This window comes from Homo sapiens, chromosome 5 (assembly GCF_000001405.40).
Source record: "Homo sapiens chromosome 5, GRCh38.p14 Primary Assembly".
NCBI lineage: Eukaryota > Metazoa > Chordata > Mammalia > Primates > Hominidae > Homo > Homo sapiens.
The window spans coordinates 116,088,509-116,106,338 of record NC_000005.10 but is presented as its reverse complement, the minus strand read 5'-3'; the positions used below and the strand labels follow the sequence as shown (position 1 = coordinate 116,106,338).

Here is a 17,830-nt window from a genome sequence, read left to right as displayed (position 1 = left end):
CCACACTGCAATCAAATTAGACTCAAGATTAAGAAACTCACTCAAAACCTCACAACACATGGAAACTGAACAACCTGCCGCTGAATGACTACTGGGTAGAAAACGAAATAAAAGCAAAAATAAAGTTGTTCTTAGAAACCAATGAGAACAAAGACACAAGGTACCAGAATCTGTGGGACACATTTAAAGCAGTGTGCAGAGGGAAATTTATAGCACTAAATGCCCACACAAAAAAAAAAATAAAACAAAACTCAACAAAAACAGGAAAGATCTAAAATCGACACCCTAACATCACAATTAAAAGAACTAGAGAAGCAAGAGCAAACAAATTCAAAAGCTACCAGAAGACAAGAAATAACTAAGATCAGAGCAGAACTGAAGGAGATAGAGACATGAAAAGTCCTTCAAAAAAATCAATGAATCCAGGAGCTGGTTTTTTGAAAAGCTCAACAAAATACACAGACCCTTAGCCAGACTAATAAAGAAGAAAAGAGAGAAGAATCAAATACACACAATAGAAAATGATAAAGGGGACTTCACCACTGATCCCACAGAAATACAAACTACCATCAGAGAATACTAGAAACACATCTACGCAAATAAACTAGAAAATCTAGAAGAAATGGATAAACTCCTGGACACATACACCTGCCCAACACTAAACCAGGAAGAATTTGAATCCCTGAATACAGCAATAAGAAGTTCTGAAACTGAGGCAGTAGTTAATAGCCTACCAACCAAAAAAAGTCCCAGACTAGACAGAATGACAGCCAAATTCTACCAGAGGTACAAAGAGAAGCTGGTACCATTCCTTCTAAAACTATTCCAAACAACAGAAAAAGAGGGAATCCTTCCTAATTCATTTTACGAGGCCAACATCATCCTAATACCAAAACCTGGCAGAGACACAACAAAAAAAGAAAATTTCAAGCCAGTATCCCTGATGAACATCAATGCAAAAATCCTCAATAAAATACCAGCAAACCAAATCCAGCAGCACATCAAATAGCTTATCCACCATGATCAAGTCGGCTTCATCCCTGGGATGCAAGGCTGGTTCAAGATATGCAAGTCAATAAAAGTAATCCATCACATAAACAGAACCAATGAAAAAACAACAAGATTATCTCAACAGATGCAGAAAAGACCTTTGATAAAATTCAACAGCCCTTTGTGCTAAAAAAAACTCTCAATAAACTAGGCATTGATGGAACATATCTCAAAATAATAAGAGCTATTCATGACAACCCACAACCAATATCATACTGTATGGGCAAAAACTGGAAGAATTCCCTTTGAAAACCAGCACAAGACAAGGATGCCCTCTCTCACCACTCCTATTCAACACAGTATTGGAAGTTCTAGCCACGGCAATCAGGCAAGAGAAAGAAAGAAAGGATATTCAATTAGGAAAAGAGGAGGCTGGGTGCGGTGGCTCACGCCTGTAATCCCAGCACTTTGGGAGGCCAAGGCGGACGGATCACGAGGTCAGGGGATCTAGACCATCCTGGCTAAGACAGTGAAACCCCGTCTCTACTAAAAATACAAAAAATTAGCTGGGCTTGGTGGCAAGCACCTGTAGTCCCAGCTACTAGGGAGGCTGAGGCAGGAGAATGGCATGAACTCGGGAGGAGGAGCTTACAGTGAGCCGACATCGTGCCACTGCACTCCAGCCTGGGTGACAGAGTGAGACTCCGTCTCAAAAAAAAAAAGAAAAAAAAGAAAAGAGGAAGTCAAATTGTCTGTGTTTACAGATGACATGATTGTATATTTAGAAAACCCCATCATCTCAACCAAAAATCTCCTTAAGATGATGAGCAACTTCAGCAAAGTCTCAGGATACAAAATCAATGTGCAAAAATCACAAGCATCCCTATACACCAATAACAGACACAGAAAGACAAATCATGAGTGAACTCCCATTCACAATTGCTACAAAAAGGATACAATACCTAGGAATCCAACTTACAAGGGATTTGAAGGTCCTCTTCAAGGAGAACTACAAATCACTGCTCAAGAAAATAAGAGAGGACACAAACAAATGAAAAAACATTCCATGCTCATGGATAGGAAGAATCAATATCGTGAAAATGGCTATACTGTCCAAAGTAATTTATAGATTCAATGCTATCCCCATCAAGCTACCATTGACTTTCCTCACAGCATTGGAAAAAAACTACTTTAAATTTCACATGGAACCAAAAGGAGCCCACATAGCCAAGACAATCCTAAGCAAAAGAACAAAGCTGGAGGCATCATGCTACCTGACTTCAAACTACACTACGAGGCTACAGTAACCAAAACAGTGTAGTACTGGTACCATACAGACATATAGACCAATGGAACATAACAGAGGCCTCAGAAATAACACCACACATCTACAACCATCTGACCTTTGACAAACCTGACAAAAACAAGAAATGGGGAAGGGATTCCCTATGTAATAAATGGTGCTGGGAAAACTAGCTAGCCCTGTGTGGAAAAGTGAAAATGGACCCCTTCCTTACACCTTATACAAAAATTAAGTCAAGATAGATTAAAGACTTAAAAATCATAAAAACCCTAAAAGAAAACCTATGCAATACCATTCAGGTCATAGGCATGGGCAAAGACTTCATGACTAAAACACCAAAAGCAATGGTAACAAAAGCCAAAATGGACAAATGGGATCTAATTAAACTGAAGGGCTTCTGCCCAGCAAAAGAAACTACCATCAGAGTGAATAGGCAACCTACAGAATGGGAGAAAATTTTTGCAATCTATCCATCTGACAAAGGGCTAATATCCAGAATCTACAAGGAACTTAAACAAATTTACAAGAAAAAAACCCATCAAAAAGTGGGCAAAGGATATGAACAGACACTTCTCAAAAGAAGACATTTATGCAGCCAAAAACACATGAAAAAAAGCTCATCACCACTGGTCATTAGAGAAATGCAAATCAAAACCACAATGAGATACCATCTCATGCCAGTTAGAATGTGATCATTAAAAAGTCAGGAAACAACAGATGCTGAAGAGGATGTGGAGAAATAGGAATGCTTTTATACTGTTGGTGGGAGTGTAAATTAGTTCAACCATTGTGGAAGACAGTGTGGCAATTCCTCAAGGATCTAGAACTATAAATACCATTTGACCCAGCCATCCCATTACTGGGTATATACCCAAAGGATTATAAATCATTCTACTATAAAGACACATGCACATGTATGTTTATTGCAGCACTGTTCACAACAGCAAAGACTTGGAACCAACCCAAATGCCCATCAATGAAAGACTGGATTAAAAAAAAATGTGGCACATATACACCATGGAATACTATGCAGGCATAAAAAAGGATGAGTTCATGTCCTTTGCAGGGACATGGATGAAGCCGGAAACCATCATTCTCAGCAAACTAACACAAGAACAGAAAACCAAACACCGCATGTTCTCACTCATAAGGGGGTGCTGAACAATGAGAACACATGGACATAAGGGGTGGGGGAATCACACACTGGGGCCTGTCAGGGTGTGGGGGGCTGGTGGAGGGATAGCATTAGGAGAAATACCTAATGTAGATGACGGGTTGATGGGTGCAGCAAACCACTATGGCACGTGTATACCTATGTAACAAACCTGCACATTCTGCACATGTACCCCAGAACTTAAAACATAATAATAAAAAGAATTATTATTAAAATGACTATACTGCCCAAAGCAATCTACAGATTCAATGCAATCCTTATCAAAATACCATTGTCATTTTTCACTAAATTAGGAAAAACAATCCTAAAATTCATATGGAAGCAATGAAGAACCTGAATGGCCAAAGCAGTCCTAAGCAAAAAGAACAAACCTGGAGGCCTTACACTCTCTGACTTCAAATTAAACTGCAAGGCTATAATAACCAAAACAGCATGGTACTAGTATAAAGATAGACACATAGATCAAGAGAACAGACTAGAAAACCCAGAAATAAAGCTACATATTTACATTTAAGTGTTCTTTGACAAAGTCAACAAGAACATAAATTGAGGAAAAGACAACGTTTTCAATAAATGGTGCTGAGAAAACTGCATTGCCAAAAGCAGAAGAATGAGACTAGACCCCTGTCTCTGATCATATAAAAAAAATCTCAAGATGAATTAAGAGACTTCAATGGAATACTTGAAATTTAAAATACTAGAAGAAACCTAGCGAAAACTCTTTTGGACCTTGTTCTAAGCAAAGAATTCATGACTAAGATCTTAAAAGGACAGAAAACAAAAATAAAAATAGACAAATGGAACTTAGTTAAACTAAGAAGATTTGCCCAGGAAAAGAAATAATCAACATAGTACATAGAAAACCTGCAAAATGGGAGAAAATATTTGCAAACTATGCACCTGACAGAGGACCAATATCCAGAATGTACAAAAAACCCAAACAACTGAACAACAACAACAAAAATAATCCCATTAAAAAGTGGGCACAGGGCAAAGGACATGAATAGACATTTTTCAAAAGAAGACATAAAAATGGCCAACAGATACATTTAAAAATGCTCAACATCACTGATCAGAGAAATGCAAATCAAAGCCACAATGAGCTATCATCTTACCCTAGTCAGAATGGCTATTAAAAAGTGAAGAAAGTCCGGGCGCAGTGGCTCACGCCTGTAAGCCCACACTTTGGGAGGCTGAGGCAAGCGGATCACAAGGTCAGGAGTTCGAGACCAGCCTGACCAACATGGTGAAACCCCATCTCTACTAAAAATACAAAAATTAGCCGGGCGTGGTGGTGTGCGCCTGTAATCCCAGCTACTCAGGAGGCTGAGGTGGGAGAAACTCTTGAACCTGGGAGGCGGAGGTTGCAGTGAGCCGAGGTCACACCATTGCAATCCAGCCTGGGTGACAGAGCAAGACTCCGTCTCAAAATAATAAATAAATAAATAAATAAAAAATAAAAAAGTTAAAAAATAATAGATGTTAACAAGGATGTGGAGAAAAGAGAACTCTTATGGAAAATAGTATAGAAAAGGGAACTCTATGGAAAACAGTATAGAGATTGCTCAAATAACTAAAACTAGAACTAACATTCAATCTAGCAATCCCTCAATGGGGCATCTACCCAGAGGAAAAGAAATCAGTGTACTAAAAAGGTACTTGCACTCCTGTTTATCACAGTATTCATAATAACAACAATATGGGATCAACCTAAGTGTCCATCATTGGATGACTGGATAAAGAAAATATGGTGTGTATATATAGACAATGGAACACTATTGAGCCATAAAAAAGAACAGAATCATATCTTTTGCAGCAACTTGGATGAAACTGGAGGCCATTATCTTAAGTGAAACAAGTCAGACACAGAAAGACAAATACTGCATATTCTTACTCATAAGTGGGAGCTAAATAATGTGTACACATGGATGTAAAAAGTGGAATGACAGACAATGGAGACTCAGAAGGGAGAGGAGGTGCTGCGAGGGTGGATAATGAGAAATTACCTAAAAGTCCTGAATTCACCATTATGAAATCTATGCATGTAACAAAATTTCAGTTGTACACCATGAATTTATACAAAGAAAAATAAATAAATGGCAAAAAACAGACGTATTAAAGTGAGATGAGATGAAATTTTAAAATCCCTTCAATCATATTCTGCAAAAAGCTATTAATGTCAAGTTTTTTTTTCAATTGGCCCTCTCATTTATTAAATCTAAACAATAAGAGATAAAAAGAAGTGTCTTTCAACCAGTCTTTGACAAGGGCACCAAGGATACACCATGGGAAAAAGCCTTTTCAACTAATGGTACTGAGAAAACTGAAAATCTACATGCAAAAAAAAAAAAAAGGAACTGGACCTTTATCTTATACCATGCACAAAAATTAACTAAAAATGAATTAAAGACTTAAATGAAAGATCTGAGACTATAAAATTTCTAGAAAAAAATACAGGAAAAATAGCTCCTTAGCACTGGCCTTTGCAATGATTTTTTGGATAGGACACCAAAAGCGTATCACTTTTTGGATATGAAATACATAACAAAAGCAAAAACAAACAAGTGTGATTATATCAAACTAAAAAGCTTCTACACAACAAAGGAAACTTAACAAAATGAAAAGGCAACCTATAGAATGTGAGAAAACAGAGGTTCGGCATCCCTAATCCAAAAATCCAAAATCTAAAATACTCCAAAATCTGAAACTCTTTGAACTCCAACATGATACCATAAACAGAAAATTTCCCACCTGATCTCATATGACAGGTCACAGTCAAAACTTTGTTTCATACACAAAATTATTTAAAATATTGTGTAAGATTACCTTCAGGCTATGTATATAAGGTGTATTTGAAACATAAATGAATTCAGTGTTTAGACTTGCTTACCATCCCCAAGACATCTCATTATGTATATGCAAATATTCCAAAATTCAAAAAATCCAAAATCCAAAACACTTCTGGTCCCAAGCATTTCAGATACGTGATACCCAACCTGTATTTGTAAACCATGTATAAGAGGTTAACATACAAAATACATAAGGAACTCACAAACTCAATAGCAGGAAAACTAATAACCCATTTAAAAACTGGACAAAGGAACTGAACAGACATTCTCCCCACCAAAAAAAGGCATAAAAATGATCAACAGGTATATAAAAGAGTGGTCAATATCATTAATCATCAAAGAAATGCAAATCAAAAGCATAATACAACATGACGTTACATCGTTAAAATACCTATTATCAAAAAGACAAGAGACAGCAAGTGTTAGGAAGACAGCAGAGAAAAAGAAACCATTGTACAGTGTTGGTGGGAATGTAAATTGGTACAGCCTTTATGAAAAACAGTATGGAGGTTCCTTAAAACATTAAAAATAAAACTATCATACAATCCAACAATCCCACTCCTGGTTTATACGCAAAGGAAATGAAATCAGTTGAAGAGATATCTGCACCCTCATGTTCACTGCAGTATTATTCACAATGGCCAAGATAAGGAAACAACCTAAGTGTCTGTCAACAAATGAACAGATAATGAATGGAATATTATTCAACCTTTAAAAAGAAAACACTGCCATTTGTGACAAAATGGATGAACCTGGAGGGTGTTATGCTAAGTGAAATAAGCCAGGCACAGAAAGACAAAACACTGTATGAGCTAATTTATACGCATACTCTAAAAGTTTAACTCACTGAAGCAGAGAGTAGAATGGTAGTTGCCTGGGGATGGGGTATGAGGGAAATGAGGAGATGCTGGTCAGAGGGTACAACTTTTAGCTATAAAACAAATTAAGTTCTGGGAATCTAATGTATGGCATGGTGACTATAGTTAATAATACCACGTTGTTTACTTTAAGTTTTCAAAGACAGTAGATCTTAAATGTCCTCACGCACACACTCACCCACACATAAAAGGTGGTAACTGTGTGGTGACAGATATGTTGATTAATTTGATTATGGTAATCATTACACAATGTATACAGCTATCAAATCATCACATTGCACACCCTGAATACGCATAATTTTTGTTTATCAATTATACCTCGATAAAGCTTAAAAAAGAAGTTTTTAAAATGGAATAAAAATAAACACCTTTTGATTTTTTAACATTATTTCATTGATCTTACCCTCTTTGAATTCAGAATCACAGTCTTTCCTCAGTATCTAGCGAGGGCTGGTTCCAGGACCCCCTACAGACACCCAAAACTGCAGATACTCAAGTCCCTCATATAAAATGACACAGTATTTAAATATAATCTACACATATCCTCCTTTATACTTTAAATCATCTCTAGATTATTTATAATAACTAATACAATGACAACACATCATTTCTGTGGATTTAACATAGTACTCAGCACATGGCAAATTCAAGTTTCACTTTTTGGAATTTTTTGTTTCCCAAATATTCTTGATCTGCTGCGAGTTTAATCCATGAATACGAAATCCAGGGATACAGAGGGCTGACTGTACTACCAACATGTGTTCTGCTGCAAGCACCCCACAGTTTATGTGGGTAGGACCCTAAGTTACCATAAAACAGTTAAAGTCATTGCATGTACACCTTTTTTCATCATATAAGTCAGTGTAATATATTTTTGTTACAATTTAAATGGCATGATCTGTTTTCACATCTGGCTATTTTGGCCACAGTATCCTAAACAGTTCTCAGAATGAAAAAGAAAGATAGCATTACAGCTGCCAGAGGTAGCATGATATAAAAGGAATAAGACTTAGAGACAGACAGATCCAATCCTCATTTCAGTTTCATCATGGACCACTTGGGATAATATGATAAAGTGACTAATATTTTCTAAAGTTTTATTTCCTCACTTTTAAAAGGTATGTGACATGGTTTGGATCTGTGACCACAACAAATCTCATGTGCAATTGTAATCTCCAGTGTTGGAGGTGGGCCCGGTGGGAGGTGACTGGATCATGGGGGCAGGCTTCTCATGAATGCTTTAGCACCATCCCTTCAGTGCTATTCTTGTGATAGTTGAGTTCTCGCAAGACCTGCTTGTTCAAAAGTATGTAGCCCCTCCCTCCTCCCTCTCTCTCTTGTTCCTGCTCCTGCCATGAAAGACACCTGCTCCCCATTCACCTTCCACCATGACTGTAAGTTTCCTGAGGCCTCCCCAGAAGCCAAGCAGATGCCAGCACATCATGCTTCCCGTACAGCCTGCAGAACCGTGGGCAAATTACACCTCTTTTCTTTATATAATTACCCTATTTCAGGTTATTTATAGCAATGTGAGAATGGACTAATATGAAGTACATACAAACAACTATATAAATCACCCTGCATAATGCCTGACGCAGAAAAATTCCGCAGCTAACATCTATGTGTTAGGATAGCATAATAGCTTAGGAATGTGACTATTCTTGTCAAATCCCAACTCAGCCACTTACTTAGCTGTACAATCATGGGCAACTTTTTAAACCTCTCTAAGCCTCAATTTTATAAGTACATGTATAAACTAGAACTATTAATGGGTTTTGTAACATACAAAGAACTCATTATAACATCTGACCCACAATAAGCACAATAAATGCTTGTTATCATTATATTATTTAAGCATTTCAGACTTTAAAATAGTATATTAGCAATCCTATGATATACCCAGAATTACCAAAAGATAATTTCCAGCATTCTCAATGGGACAATGTACAATTAATCAGATCATTCCAACTTCTTTATTTGCATATTTTATATGACAAATGATTAATTAATTTCTTAAAGAGAAGCTTCTGTAATCCAACTATGGGAAAAATATTACCTTTAAAAAAACAAACTTTCATCATGAAGACACTAAAAAGTAATTTACTATTAGAAGCAGAAAACAAAAATATTTTTAATTGTTATGACTACTAAAGTGCAAGGAAAAAAACGGACTGTATAAAATATAGGAAAAATATAAACAGAAAACAGGCTACTATTAAAAAGCCAAGAATTTTTTTTAAAAATGAAAATGGCTTAAAAAAAGAATTGCAGGGAAACAAATGGAAAGCTTAAAATCTATAGAGGATATAGGAAAAAGTAGACTTTAAAATGATAAAAAATGAAGCAATGACATAGAAGACACTTGAGAGTAGTAAGAATACAGAATTTTTAAAAAGGGAAGTAGAGAAGTGAAAACAATAAAGGGGCATTTTCTAACATCCTACTTAATGATAAGAGCCTGAATGCTTTCACCCTAAAATTGGGAACAAGGCAAGGATATTCAGACTTACCACTCCTATTCAGCATCACGTTGGAAGTCCTTGTCAGTAAAATAAAGCAAGAAAAATAAAAGCTCTACAGATTGAAAAGGAAGAAATAAAACTGTCTTTATTCACAGACAACGTGACTGCCTTCAAAGGAAATCACAAAAAACCTATAAGAAAGCTGCTAAAACTAATTAGTGAATTTACCAAGTTACAGGATAGAGATCAGTATAGAAAAGTCTACTGTATTTCCATATACTATCAATAAGCCATTGGAAAACAAAATTTGAAAAATACTACCAATAGTTCAACAACAAAAAAAAAAAGAAAGAAAAAGTACTTAAGGTACAAACCTAACAAAATAAGGGCAGGATTGATAAGCTGAAAACAAAAGACACTGATAAAAGAAATCAAAGAAGACCTAAATAAATAGATATACTCAATACTTATTAAGGAGTCATTTCTCAATAAAGTTATTTACAAATTAAACACAACCCCAATCAATACCCCAAGCAGGATTTTTTACAGAAATACAAAAGCTGATTTTCAAACATATGAAAAGGCAAAGAAACTAGGATTGCCAAAACAATTATAAAAAAGAAGAAAAAAGTCAGTGGGTTCACAATACCTGATTTTAACACTTACTATTAAGCTATAATAATTAAGGCAGTGTGATATTGGCATAGACAAATAAGTCAATGAAATCAAAGAGAGATTCCAGAAAAAGACTCACAAAAATATCAAATGATTTTAGACAAACACATGGTAATTCAATGACAAAATGATAATTTTAACAACAAATCACATTGGAGCAAATGAACATCCATACATAGAAAAAATGAACTTTGACCTGCACTTTATGTATCATACAAAATTAACAGTAAATGGATTTTAGATCTAAACATAAAATATAAATATGTAAAACATTTAGAAGAAAACAGTAAATATTTATGTCATGATTAGGCTGCAAATTCCTAGAAAACCAGAAGTAGGTTCATGAAAAGAGAAAAAAAAAATACAACAGATTTCATCAAAGTTAATGGTTCTGTTCTGGGAAAGATACTGTTAAGAGAATGAAAAGGAAAGCTACAGATTAGGAGAAAATACGTGCAAATCATATATCTCACAGAGGACTTCTAGAGAATATACAGATGCTCCTTGACTTACAATGGGCTTATGCCTCAATTAATCTATCGTTAAGTTAAAATACAATAATTCACAAATGTATTTAATACACTTAATCTACCAAACATCACAGCTTAGCTTAGCTAACCTTAGACATGTTCAGTATACTTACATTAGCCTGTGGTTGAGCAAAATCATCTAACACAAAGCCTATTTGTTAATCAATACATAATATTTTTGCATATTTATGAGATATGTGTTATATTTTCTTATATGCATAGACTGTGTAATGATCATGTCAGGGTATTTAAGATATTCACCACCCTGAGCATTTATCATTTGTGTGTGTTCAGAACAGTTCACTTCCTTAATTCTAGCTATTTTGAAATGACCAATATATTGATGTCAACTATAAGCACCATACTAAACTATCAAACATTAAACTTATTACTTCTGATTATATGTTTGTACCCATTAACCAACTTCTACTCATCCACCCTCCGACCCCACATCCCATGCATTCTTCTCAGCCTCTGGTGACTACCATTCTACTCTCTACCTCCATGACATCAACTTGTTTAGCTCCCACATAGGAGTGAGTGCCTGTTATATTTGTCTGTGTCTAGCTTATTTCACGTAACATAAAGACCTCTAGTTCTATCCATGTTGCTGCAAACAACATTTCACTCTCTTTTATGGTTGAATATTATTCCAGTGTGTAATTATACCAAATTCCCTTTATTCATCCATCCACTAATGGACACTTAGGTTGATTTCTTATCTTTGCTATTGTGAACAGTGTTGCAACAAACACAGGGGTACAAATATTTCTTTAATATACCGATTTCCTTTCCTTTGAATATATACCAAGTAGTGGAATTACTGGACTGTGTGGTAGTTCTAATTTTAGTTTTTTGAGAAATCTCCACACTGCTTTTCCCTAATGGCTGTACTAATATACATTGCCACCAAAAGCATATGAGAGTTCCCTTTTCTCCACATCCTCACCTGCATCCATTATTTTTTTCTCTTTTTAATAATAGCCATTCTAACTGGGGTAAGATGATATGGCATGTTTGGTTTTGACTTGCATTTCTCTGATAATTAGTGATTTTAAGCATTTTTTCATATACCTGTTAGCCATTTATATATCGTCTTTCAAGAAGCATTTGTTTAGATCCTTTGTCCACATTAAATGGGATTAGTTACTTTGCAGTTGAGATGTTTGAGTTCCTTGTATATTCTGGATATTAATCATTTGCTAAGTCAATAGTTTGTAAATATTTTATCCCATTTGTCAGGTTGTGTCTTCATTTTGTTGATTGTTTCCTCTAATGTACAGAAGATTTTTAGTTTAATATAGTTCCATTTGTCTATTTTGGGGTTTTTTGTCCATGTTTTAGGAAGGTCAGCCATAAAATTTTTGCCTAGACAAATGTCCTGGAGTATTTCTCCTGTTTTCTTCTAGTATTTTAACAGTTGTGGGTCTTATGTTTAAGTCTTTAATCAATTTTGAGTTGATTTTTTACATGGTGAGAGAGAAGGGCCATTACATTCTTCTGCATAGTTATCCAGTTTTCCTAGCACCATTTATTAAAGAGGGTGCCCTTTCCCCAGTTGTATGCTCTTGGCAACTTTGTAATAAATCAGTTGGCTATAAATACATGGGTTTACTTCTGGGTATTTTATGCTGTTCCATTGGTATATATGTCTGCTTTTCTACCAACACCATGCTGTTTTGGTTACTATAGCCTTGTAATACAAGTTGAAATCAGGGAATATGATGCCTCCAGCTTTGTTCTTTTTGCTTAGGATTGCTTTGGCTATTTGGGTTCTCTTTTGGTTTCATACAAATTTTAAGATTATTCTGTTTCTAACAGGGATTAGACTCTTAAAATGGAGCCGTGCTCCAGCTACCTAAGACTCAGGGGGAGCATGGAACCCAGCAAGAGCACCCTTTCTAGAGCAATACCATTGCATGAACTTCAGGGAGCTCCCTATGCCAGTCTCGGGGCCCATGGGGTTCAAGAACTCTCCCACAGTTAGGATTACAGGAGTCTGCAGCAAGAATGTGGACAGCTAGGGATCTCTCACTTACCCCAACTCCACACTGAGGAGCCTCTCCAGGCTTCTGGTTGATCCCAGCAAGGCTGTCCACCTCTCCTCCCTCTCCTCAGGTGTTTCCGGTCACTTCTCTACTGAACTCTAGCATTCTCTTTTAGATGTTTTATTTACAGTGTGATTACCTACTCACTATTTTGGTTCTTCTTTGTGGAGAAGTGTCCTGTGCCTCTAGTCAGCCATCTTGAAAAGCCTCCAAAAACAGGAATATCTTATGTACCACACCACTAGCCGAAGAAGAGATCAAAAGTAAAAGTATATCGAAATTGCGATAGTTTTGCACTACTGTAAAATCTAAACTTAAGTCAGGGCCCATACCAGACAATTTTTTTACTTTATAATGGCATGAAACCAATATGTATTCAGCAAAAACTATACTTCATATTTTGAATTCTGTATTTTCCTGGGCTAGCAATATGTATGATATTCTCTCATGATGCTGGGCAATGGCAGCGAGCGATAGTTTCCAGTCAGCCATGTGATCACAAGGGTAAACAACTGATTCTCTAGAGTGTACTCTGTTTTTGACTTAACGATATTTTCAATTTGTGACAGGTCTATCAGGATGTAAGGCCATTGTAAGTTGAGGAGCATCTGTGTTTCTTTTGCCTGACTCTACCTCTCAACAAAATATTATCACTTTAAAAACTCTTCAGGTATAATAATTTATGCCATATGTTATTGAAAAACATATTTAAGACAGTATGTTCTATACCTTACAGGGAGCCAGAATTCTCTGCCGGAACTTTTCAACTGTTTCTTGACCCATAGAAGACCACGTATTGACAAATGCTTCAGCTTTGTCTTGTCTAAGATGAATGTTCTCTAATTGCTGCTGCAAAGCTGCTGGCTTCACATTGTGATACACTGCCTATTAAAAAGAAACAAAAAATTACATATGTCCCTCATCTTCATACTGAAACTTTAAACTATACTAAATACAAAACTATTTTTAAATGACTTAAGTCAAAAGAAAACTTCATAGTCCTATTACCAACATTTTTGGTTATTTTACACATAATAAAATACACGACCAAGGGCTGGAAGATTCAGGATTAAATGGCCTAAATTATTCAAGATGAATTTTTTTCTCACTCTTACCTATGCTTTAAGTAATCCTAAATCCACTTAAAAACCAAAAAACTTCTTCTTTGCTTTGGCTATGTAAATGGTACCCTAATTAAAATTTCATTTATTTCACTTAATAATTTCAAATAAGTATACAATAGTTTTGTTTCCCAACTAACAAATTTTTTCCCAGAAGCACTTTCTCAAAATTACCTTATCTACCAATTTCCTACATAATATATGATTAAAAGTTGTAAAAAATTTTAACACTGATACCTGTTCTGTTTCTTACATTATTCTGGAACACCATGCTATGCTGTCCTACTCAATGATCCTTTTCTTCTACTGAACACCCACCAAAAATTAGAACCACATTTATCTTTGTGATCTATAATGTATGTAAGGCTGTAGTAGATAACTGGTAGCTTGTCCTCCTAATATGTTCATTAAAATGCTCATGAAGTTACAAAACTATTTAAACTTTTATTTCACAAGTATTATTTTTAATCAACAGGAATTTATGAGGATCTATTTTAAGCACACCAATGTGGTAGGCTTATATAAGATACACAAAAAATATGATCCTGCTCCCCACAAATTAGAATCTGGTGAAGGAGGTATAACTAACGCATATGAACTGCTGAAAGACTAACAATGTGCTCTACTGTGATGAGCCAAGGATTTTTAAAAATCCAAATAAAGGAAGTATAAGGGGTCACAGCTCAAGTAAAGGAGATGAGCCTTGAATAGGAGCTTAAATCAGGAAGTGAATTTAGATGAGAAAAAGGGATGCAGAAGGCAGCTTAGTGGCACATAATATGACAATACTTCTTTTCTAAATGTCTTACTTACCATCCTAGTCAATATATCCCCCAAATCATTTAATATCTTAAGTAAAATATGTCCATTTTTCCATTATACCAAGTACCAATGAATTAAAATCTTGTATAACTGTCTCAAATCAATGAAGTCTCAATTCATATTTAAATACTTTACAATATTCAAATATTTTTACACTGAAATTCTTAACTAAAATACATTCACAGCTTCCATCTTGCATACTTTTTAATTAAAAAAAACAGAATGTCATAGATATCATAACAATACAAATATGTAGTAAACAAATCATGGCTAGAAAATTTGATGCAATAAAAATACCTGTTCTAAAATAAATGATATTGTTTCAAGAACTAGGTGAAGATCTTGTTTCTCTAGAGAAAATGCCGCTTGAAGTTTTTCTTCCTCTTCTTCACTGAAACTGCTCTCAGCCTATAATACAAATAGCAATCTATTATATTAGCACATATTCAGGCATTCAAAATTCATACTTGACAGAAGATTCATTTATTCGTATATGAGATGAGAACTTTAAAGAAAAATACATGGTGAAAAGAAACTGATGTGCATGTAAATTTATAAAACATATGATGCTCATTTCTAGACCTTTGTAAACAAAATAAATTAGATTAAACAAATATCTTGTGGTGACGCAGGTCATAATTACAAGCATCAGAGCCCTGTGCTAAGGGGCTCATCTATCCTAAAGAACTGCTGAGATACATGGATAATTTTTAACCAGAGCAAACAGAAATCTCAGACTTCTGTCCTTTTATGTTTCTTGGGTGTGATTTTCATAATTCTCCCATTTCATTTCATGATCAGCAGTCATTTCTTGAAGCTGCCTACATGCCCCATGACAGTACCTTCAACCCCCAGTTTGCTATTTTTAGTCTGCCATGGTCAGGAACCCAGAGAGCTGACCTCTCAAAACTAGATATACAGCACTGTTATCTCAACAGGCTTTGTGTGAGGGCCTCAAAATCTCTCCTATGGAGCCAAGTACATGAGTTTTTTTATTGCATGAGTTGTGACAGTTATTTTTGAAGTGCAAAGGCCACAAATGTTTATTTCTAAGTTCCCAGCTATGCAAGTTCACCTGACTTCCATCAGCATTTCCCAATGCAAACCGCTGGCACGCTGGATGAGACAAGTCTTTGTGCAGGACTGCCCTAAACACTGTAAAATATTTTTAAAGTCCCTGGACGTTAAATACCAGAAGCACCCTCCACACATTGTAACAAACAAAGAAACAAAATCTCCATGTATTTGTATATGCCAGGATGAGCCAAGAAGATGGCCAAAGAGGACTCCCAGATCCATAATCTGGCATGCCCACATTCTATACCTAAGTTGTCTTAGTCCCTCATATTGATTCCCCCTTGGGATTCCAAGGAACCAGTCTGGACAAATACATCTCTTCTGCCCATAAACAGGTCAAACTTAATAAAATAAAAGTACCAGTAGAGGGGCAACAAAATCCCTAAACCTCTTCACCAATCTGCCTGCCTCAGTTTCACTATTCTAAGAATTCTGTCTCAAGGTAAAGGCCAACTCGATGGAGTCGGGATACATAAATGAAAGTAGGCAGATCCTGAAATGCACTGCAAACTTGACTGAAAAGCCCTTATCAAAATAGGAGCCCCTCTAAAAGAAGATCCCCTGAAACTGTACAGGAAAAAAACAATTAGACCTTTCCTGACGTCTTCTTAGCAGGCAAGTATTCACATACATATGTTTCTTTATTTAAAAGTCCCTGGACATTAAATGCCAGCAGGACGGGTAACTTCACTTTTCAACAAGCACCTCTTCTCCTCTCCACTCCCCTACCTCTGATGGCAAAGCATTCAAGCTCCTCCATGGAATGCTTTAGCCACTCAGTTAACTCTAAGATAGATACTAACTATTCTCAACTCCATACATGACTGAGAGTGTCAAAGACAAACTAAACATCACAATTTTCTGTGCAAGTTCTCCACTCCCTCAGTGTGAAGAACAAAAGACATGTATAAGAGTTTCTTGTCCCATATTTTTATACATAAGCAAGCACCCACCAGCTGAAGAAATAAAGCAGAATATCTGTATTACCCACATCATTCACTTTTGGGCCAATTTATGAAATGTTCCATACTCTTTCCTGAGGTTTCGTGTAATAAGGGAGAGAGTTACGGAGCCAAGTTGCCCAACTAGCTAGCTGTGTTACCTTGGGAAAGTTACTTAACTGATCTCTATCTCTATCTTGGTTACCTCATAGATAAAATGAAGATGACCAGAGATGACCACAGTACCTATGTTTTCAAGTTGCCATACGGATTAGATGAGTTAGTAACACAAAGCCATTAGCACCACAACAGTCAAAAACAAGCCAATGTAACTTTATGAACAGCAAATACCACAGAATGTTGCCGCTATCATTGCAGTTTCTCCTTTCTCTCCATCCACCTCACAAATTCCTTAGAAAAAGGAATATATTATAGAAGACTTAGGTTTGTTTTGTGTTTTCCACAGCAAGGAAAATAATTAACTTCAAGAACATTTACTGAGTGCCAACTATACTAGTAGCAATGTATTAGGAATGGGAAACATAAAGATGAGTAAGACATAATCCTCAAGATATTTAAAACCAGAGGAAGACACATTAATAGGTTTGGGGATTTGGTTGCCTGCTAATCATGAAACAAATACTTATGATGCAGTACTAAAATCAGGTGAGAATGAACTAGGAGCACAGAAGAAAGAACAAACTGCTGAGACTGAGATTGTGAAATCCTTGAAGGATGAACAAGTTACTCAGTAAAGGGGAAGAAGGACATTTATAGGCAAGGGAAAGAGTATATGCATAGACACATTGCTGAAAAAGTTCATGGCAAGTTGTAGTAAATGGGTACCATCCAGTGTAACTGCAGCACTTACAAAATGAGGAGAATGTAGACTGCAGCCATACTACAATGGGACTTGTACGCAATGTTAAGGATTTCTAACTTTTCTCCATAGGGCAATGG

General features: G+C 35.9%; 1 protein-coding gene across 5 annotated transcripts in view, besides 1 other annotated feature; it reads right to left on the bottom strand.

The window, feature by feature from the left end:
* Window positions 1-17,830, bottom strand: part of COMMD10 (COMM domain containing 10) — a 208,263-nt gene that overhangs the window by 186,949 nt on the left and 3,484 nt on the right. For all 5 annotated transcript variants that reach the window (NR_146220.2, NR_146218.2, NR_146219.2 and 2 more), the window contains exons 3-4: window positions 15,150-15,260; window positions 13,639-13,794 (exon numbers count right to left, since the gene is read on the bottom strand). Coding sequence is in view for 2 of the 5 variants with exons in the window: in NM_016144.4 (NP_057228.1) it covers window positions 13,639-13,794; window positions 15,150-15,260 (267 nt within the window). In the remaining 3 variants the exon portion in view is untranslated. The remainder of the gene's footprint in view (window positions 1-13,638; window positions 13,795-15,149; window positions 15,261-17,830) is intronic.
* Window positions 14,621-14,821: a silencer, noted in NCBI's record as "peak5429 fragment used in MPRA reporter construct". NCBI's record gives its function as "represses an SCP1 promoter by STARR-seq MPRAs in K562 erythroleukemia cells {active_cell/tissue: K562}" and the evidence as "EXISTENCE:reporter gene assay evidence [ECO:0000049][PMID:32103011]".